This window comes from Homo sapiens, chromosome 7 (assembly GCF_000001405.40).
Source record: "Homo sapiens chromosome 7, GRCh38.p14 Primary Assembly".
Taxonomy (NCBI): Eukaryota; Metazoa; Chordata; class Mammalia; order Primates; family Hominidae; genus Homo; species Homo sapiens.
Window position 1 is genome coordinate 53,415,597 of NC_000007.14, and position 6,000 is coordinate 53,421,596.

The window sequence follows — 6,000 nt, forward strand, 5'->3', positions numbered from 1 at the left end:
AGACCCTGTCTCACACACACACACACGTGCACGCACACACACACACGCTTCCAAAACTACATTATCACCTACAAATGCATGTTTAAATGTCTCCTTCTCCTATGTTACTGATAGACGTATCTCTTATGCAAGACTAATCCTTTCTCTCTTTAGACTGGATTTAACACCTTTCTAAGTGGACTGAAGCCCCAGCTCTTGCTGCAACACATTTTTGGTGTTAACTTCTTTTCACCACTCTCTTCAACTTGTCCCTTAAATTTTAGCAGTTCCTCCACTCTCTGGCAAATGCCCTTTTCTTTTCTTACTGGTTTTCTCCTTAATCGGTGTCTCCAATGTCTTCAGCTTCAATTACCATCGGTAAGTAATTCCCCCCACACCAATACATATTTACAGCCACTGTCTCCCTGGAGCTTCTGGCCTATGTGTCACAGCTGCCTAGAAGACTTTCATATTTGGATGACTCACATCCACCTTAACCTGTTCAAAATTGAGCTCACCTTCTCCTTAAACTCTACTCTTCTGAGATTCCTTATTTTAACAAAAGGCATCACAATCTACAGATTAGCCCAAATTAGCATCAGGGATATTTACTGTCTTTAATTCTTCCCTTCTATTTTTCACAAGCACCAACATGCCCTGAAATTTATGCATCTTAAAAATGCTTATCTCCCTTCACTTTATTTGCTCCCCTCAGCTCTTCCTTAGGAACAGGTCCTACTATATCTTACCTACATTCCTTCAAAACTCTAGGCATTCGTCCCATGGCTTCCAACCATTTCTCCATCTGCCACAGTTCACCATGCATCCAGTGTGATCTCTCTCGAATCAAAACATGAGCAGGTTAGTTTTAAGACACTTTAATGATTTTCTTTAACCTTCAAGTCAAATTCATACTTGTTGAAATGTTTTATAATGATCTACAAGGTCCAGCTTCATTTTATTTCATAGGTTTTCTCCAATCACTTTATCCTCTGCTTAAATTGCCCAGATAGACCAGAATATCTGTTTAGTTTTTAGGTAAGTCATGTTTTCATTTGCTCTTGGAATTGATTTTTACAGTTATATCTGTCTCCTCCTCTGACCTCTTCTAGGTCACTCTGGGTCACAATCAGACATTTTTCCCTGAGTAGCATTTACATATGCATGGATTTGACACTTCTTCCCACTCTGTTTCTCTAGCTCCTGGTACCCCATCCAGGCTCCATTTATCCTACTTGTTTTGTTTGAAGAATTGTCTAACTGACAATATTATTAATTTCACTGAAATCGAGATAAGTACCTCTTGTATATAATTTTTATTTTTACAAATTGATAAAGAGAAGATACCCAATAATTGTTAGTAAAATAAATTAACTGTTTTTTTCTCAGATAGTAAATATAGAACATGTTAATATAAAGGAGACATTTTACTCTTCTTAAATACTTCAATAACTTATGGTTTTGCAGTGTAGCATCGTGATTAGAAAGCAGAAGTTATAAAGAAGAAAAAATCATTTGAGAACCCTGAAGACATTCTAAAAGTCAGAAATGTCTAGACATAGAATGTCAGAACTTAGGAGGATGGGAATCCCGCACATCCAAGGCTGCATGCTGACCATGGAGGAATCATGTACAGGCAATTCATTCATGCAGCGAGATTGATTAGGATTCCACAAAAATGTGCTGCATTGTGAACACTTTGAAGACACTTGAAAAGGTTTGAGACTCACGTATATTATTCAAAACCTGAATTCAATTTTGCCAGGGGTAATGGTGGGATCTTAATCTGCATGCAGGAGAAATGATATCAGCACCTGTTGTTGGTCTACACCAATATTCATATCCCCCAACTCTGAGGCTGTCTGATGGCATTAGTAGGGATAAAAACAAGCATGTGGTTAAGCTTGCAGTAAGACATCTCAGAGATACCATGATTCGATTATGATCTTCATACTCTGGGGATTGTTTCTGAGGGTATCTTAATGTTTCTAAGGTAAGGAGGAATATAAATTTAGAAGCAGGACCTGCTTCATAGGATGCCACTAATACAGTCACATAGAGCCTTGTGCTAGGGGCTTAATGTTCTGTGGCTGCTGTTCTGAAATTCTTAATGGTTTTATCATTGAATTTGCGTTTTGTAAGATATGTCTGATAGAACAATAATGCACGTATGAGGGGTTTGGTGTTTCAGCCACACGCAGTCCCAGCTCTCACTGTCTCCTTGCCCACTGAGCTCCCTCCGTCTGCCACTGCTCCATAACCACAACTACCCCCCAACTGAAACAGTTATCAAGAAGTCTTAGGGGTGTGGATGTGGATGAGTACATTCTGCTGTCACCCTCTGCTCCTTGCTGAGGACTTGAACTCAGGGGAGGATTGGGGCAGCTCTGTGCTGATCAAATCAGTGACCATCCCATTTTTGGCTTACAAGATCATGGTGCCTTTGCTGGACAACTCTGCAATGGCCTCTCACCCACCCACAATTTAGGTACTGAGCACATCAGGTAGAGAGGTTACAGGGAGGTTGTAATGCCTTGGGTGGCACCTGTCCCCCATGGGTTGGGAAGGTAGGCTCTGGGAAGGGATGGTAATGTCCTCTTCCTCAGCTGGTGTCCTGGCTTTTCATTTTGCCCTGGGCCCCACAAATTACATAGAAAGTATTGTCTAGAAGTCAAACACATATTCATTAAAAAGGAGCTTCTAAGCTCCTTTTTAAAAGGGAGCAAGTTAATGACAGTGGAAGTGTGAATTTTTTCTATAAATGCTACATGTATCTATCTGTGTTTACATTTAATGAAAGATTTTCATACAGATAAGCTTGGAAAGATAAAAGGAGATTTAGAAAAATTTAAGACAAGGATAGATTCTATAAGGAAAAAATAGTTAAGCATCGGAAATGTGAGTTACTTTCATGCTTGAGTTTAAGTATGTATTTTTAAAGTCTTTTATAGTCAAACATCCTCAAGAAATCTATGGCACTTTTATACTGTGATTCTAGTCTGTTTCTGTCAACATGCTTATGTTTTCTTAATTTTGTAATCCTATAATAACACAATGCATAGAGTAATTGGATCTACGGCTTTTGCTACTTCAAGTCTCTAAAAGGTTATTCAGGTACATAAAGTAAGTTGTTGTCTTCAATTTGGCAGCACTAGTATGATAAACTCTAGCTTGTTGAGTCCATTTCAAAAATTAATTTAGAAAAATAACCTTTAACTTACATTGCTGTATTTTCTTTTTGCTTGATAGGTGGCCCAATAATAGGTTCTTCTCTGTTGTTCCCACCCTCATCTTTGAGGTTTAAAAGTCCTTAGGTGTTTCCTATGAATGCAAATAAACCAGAATTTGTCTGGACAGGATGCATCCCAGTAACTTCCTGTGAAATATTAACTGATTAAATTTCAAGTGCCCAACCATCTTTTTGGTCCATTACCTCTTGGGACTAATTCATGGAAATTGAATGATACATTAACTTACAGGTCAAAGTCAAATGTGCTGCCCCAGGCAGGAATTTTTGTTCAAATTTCCATTTTGCTTGAAATAAAACTCCTCTTACACTTCAGTAGCCTGAATCCAACTTTCAAGCTCTGTGGTGACTGATAAGACATCCGCCAAATATTTTTTTCTGGACAGAATCCTATTCTGACATTCATTTCCCCAGAAAACACTTGCTGCTTTGAGTGCTGCCTGTGACAGCAATCAATAAGTTACAAAGAGTTTATCCAAATCAGGGTCAGATAACTGGACTTGGGACAGTTTAGTTCATGTAGATATAACCTCTCCTATCATGTTAATACCACTATCCTTTCTGAAGTTGCAGTCTACAGAGGTATGAAACTATGAAATAAGAAGGCAAACATAGGTTAACCAAAACTCTCAGTAAAGATAATACTATATTAAATCATCTTTTAATTTAGAAGTAGTTAAGATATATAGCAGATATATTAAAAGATAATAAGAAATGTTAAAATAATAAAATTATAGAAAGGGACCCTTGAGCACTCATAACAATAACAAAAAGCCAACATTATGTGGAATCTTGGCATCAACTTGTAAGCTGAGAACCCTGTACTCTTCCACACAGATAAGTGAATTATTTTAAAGAGTATTTCTTTGCTTTCAATCCTTAGACAAATTTGACTGCTTCATACAAATATGGGGCAGGATTATTGATATGGTTTGGCTGTGGCCCCACCCAAATCTCATCTTGAATTGTAGTTCTCATAATCCTTACATTTTGTGAGAGGGACCCGGTGGGAGGTAATTTTATCATGGGGGTGGTTACCCTCATGCTGTTCTTGCGATAGTGAGTTCTTGTGAGATCTGATGGTTTTATAAGGGTCTTTCTCCTCTTTTACTCAGCACTTCTCCTTGCTGCCGCCATGTGAAGAAGGACATGTTTGCTTCTTCTTCTGCCATGATTGTAAGTTTCCTGAGGCTTCCCCAGCACTGTGGAACTGTGCGTCAGTTAAACTCTTTTCTTTATAAATTACCCAGTCTTGGGTATTTCTTCAGAGCAGCATGAGAATGGACTAATATAGTTCTCATAAACATCCTTCAGATAAGTTGGACAATTTCATTTTTCAGTAACTCTCATTCTTTTCAATTTCAGACTTTTCCAGGGCTTCTCCTACAGATTGGTGGGATTCACACTTCCTTCTTGACATTCAGGTGTCCACCTTCTTCTATACTGGTTAAATTCCCTAGTATATCTCCACTCATGTCTTTCTTCCTAAAATTGACCCCAAATCCTTAATGTTCTGATGTTCCACACTCCAAATGTCACCCATTCACATGAATCTATCAAGGCACTGTAATTTTAACAGATATTCCAGGAGTGAAAAATGGTAAATTATGTCACATGCTTTTGAATCCGAGTGAAATCTCCTCAGCTGAGTTCAGCTGCAGCTAGGGGGAACAGTTTCCTAGAACTCAGCCTCAGGGTGAAAGCATCCCACATCACTGTCATTCTTTCCTAATAATCATCTCCAACCTTCTTGGAAACATGCTTAGCTGACATAAAAACATAGCCTGAAAATTAGAGGAGGGAACACTCTTGAGTACAATGCTTCATTCTCCTTTTCTTTATATGAATAATTCTTAGAGGCATTATTTCTAGCCACCATTAAGTTATGTGGATATGTGACCCACAGTCCAATGTCACCTACCTCTGTTGCACCACGGAGGCACACCAAGGTCACACCTTTGGCATCAGGTATTTGGAGGCACACTGAGAACTAAACCCAGATCTGGCTCAGAGATGGTTCAGCTCAATATAAGTTGAAGGATCTGATTATGGGCTGATGTACTAATCCCCACTCAAAGAAGAGGAGGTTTAAAGGTGAAAAATAATATTCCCTGAGGGTAAAATGGTGAATGGTATGTAGTGATTGTCTACTTTGTATGGGGCAACAAAGGTATTATGATACCTTTGATAAATATACACATGGACTTCTGAGCTGTGGCAAAGAGTTGGTCCTGGAATGAACTAGACCAAAAGGTCTGAGATAAAGGCAAAAGGCCTGAGGACAGACCTAAAAAGTAGGTCCATAGTGTGTAGTTATGAGGTCACAAGGCAAGGCCTTCAGGAGAACACCACAGAGCAGGAATTTAACCATTAAGTAATCATCCCGTGCAGAGGATGTCAGCCAGACTCCATCCTTGGTCTGCCAGCACTTGGATATGTGGCCATAAAGAGAGTAGCTATGTGGGTGACAGAGATAACACTTGGATCCTATAGCAAAAGTTCACTCTTACCAAGGCTGGCCTTGGCCGCCTGTTCCTGACTACTACTGTCTCTTGAGGACACTAGATATTCACTAAGTGGCAGATTGGAGCCCTTCAACTCTGGATTTGCACACAATGAAATTCACAACTAGCCCACATATGTGGTTGTTGTTCTGTTTGAGTTTTCTCTGGTTTTACCACTATCTGAAGGCCTACAAGATACCTAATATACTGATGGGGTATCCCACATAATATTGCCTGTGTCCACGAGATGGGTTTTATGCTGAAGGAAGT

General features: G+C 39.2%; 1 long non-coding RNA gene across 1 annotated transcript in view; it reads right to left on the minus strand.

Annotated features, from left to right (window-relative positions):
- LOC105375282 (uncharacterized) overlaps nucleotides 1-3,310 on the minus strand; it is a 70,883-nt gene extending 67,573 nt beyond the window's left edge. The window contains exons 1-2 of the long non-coding RNA XR_927269.3: nucleotides 3,201-3,310; nucleotides 729-819 (exon numbers count right to left, since the gene is read on the minus strand). This is a non-coding gene — a long non-coding RNA (uncharacterized LOC105375282). The remainder of the gene's footprint in view (nucleotides 1-728; nucleotides 820-3,200) is intronic.
- Between the last annotated feature and the right edge of the window lie 2,690 nt (nucleotides 3,311-6,000).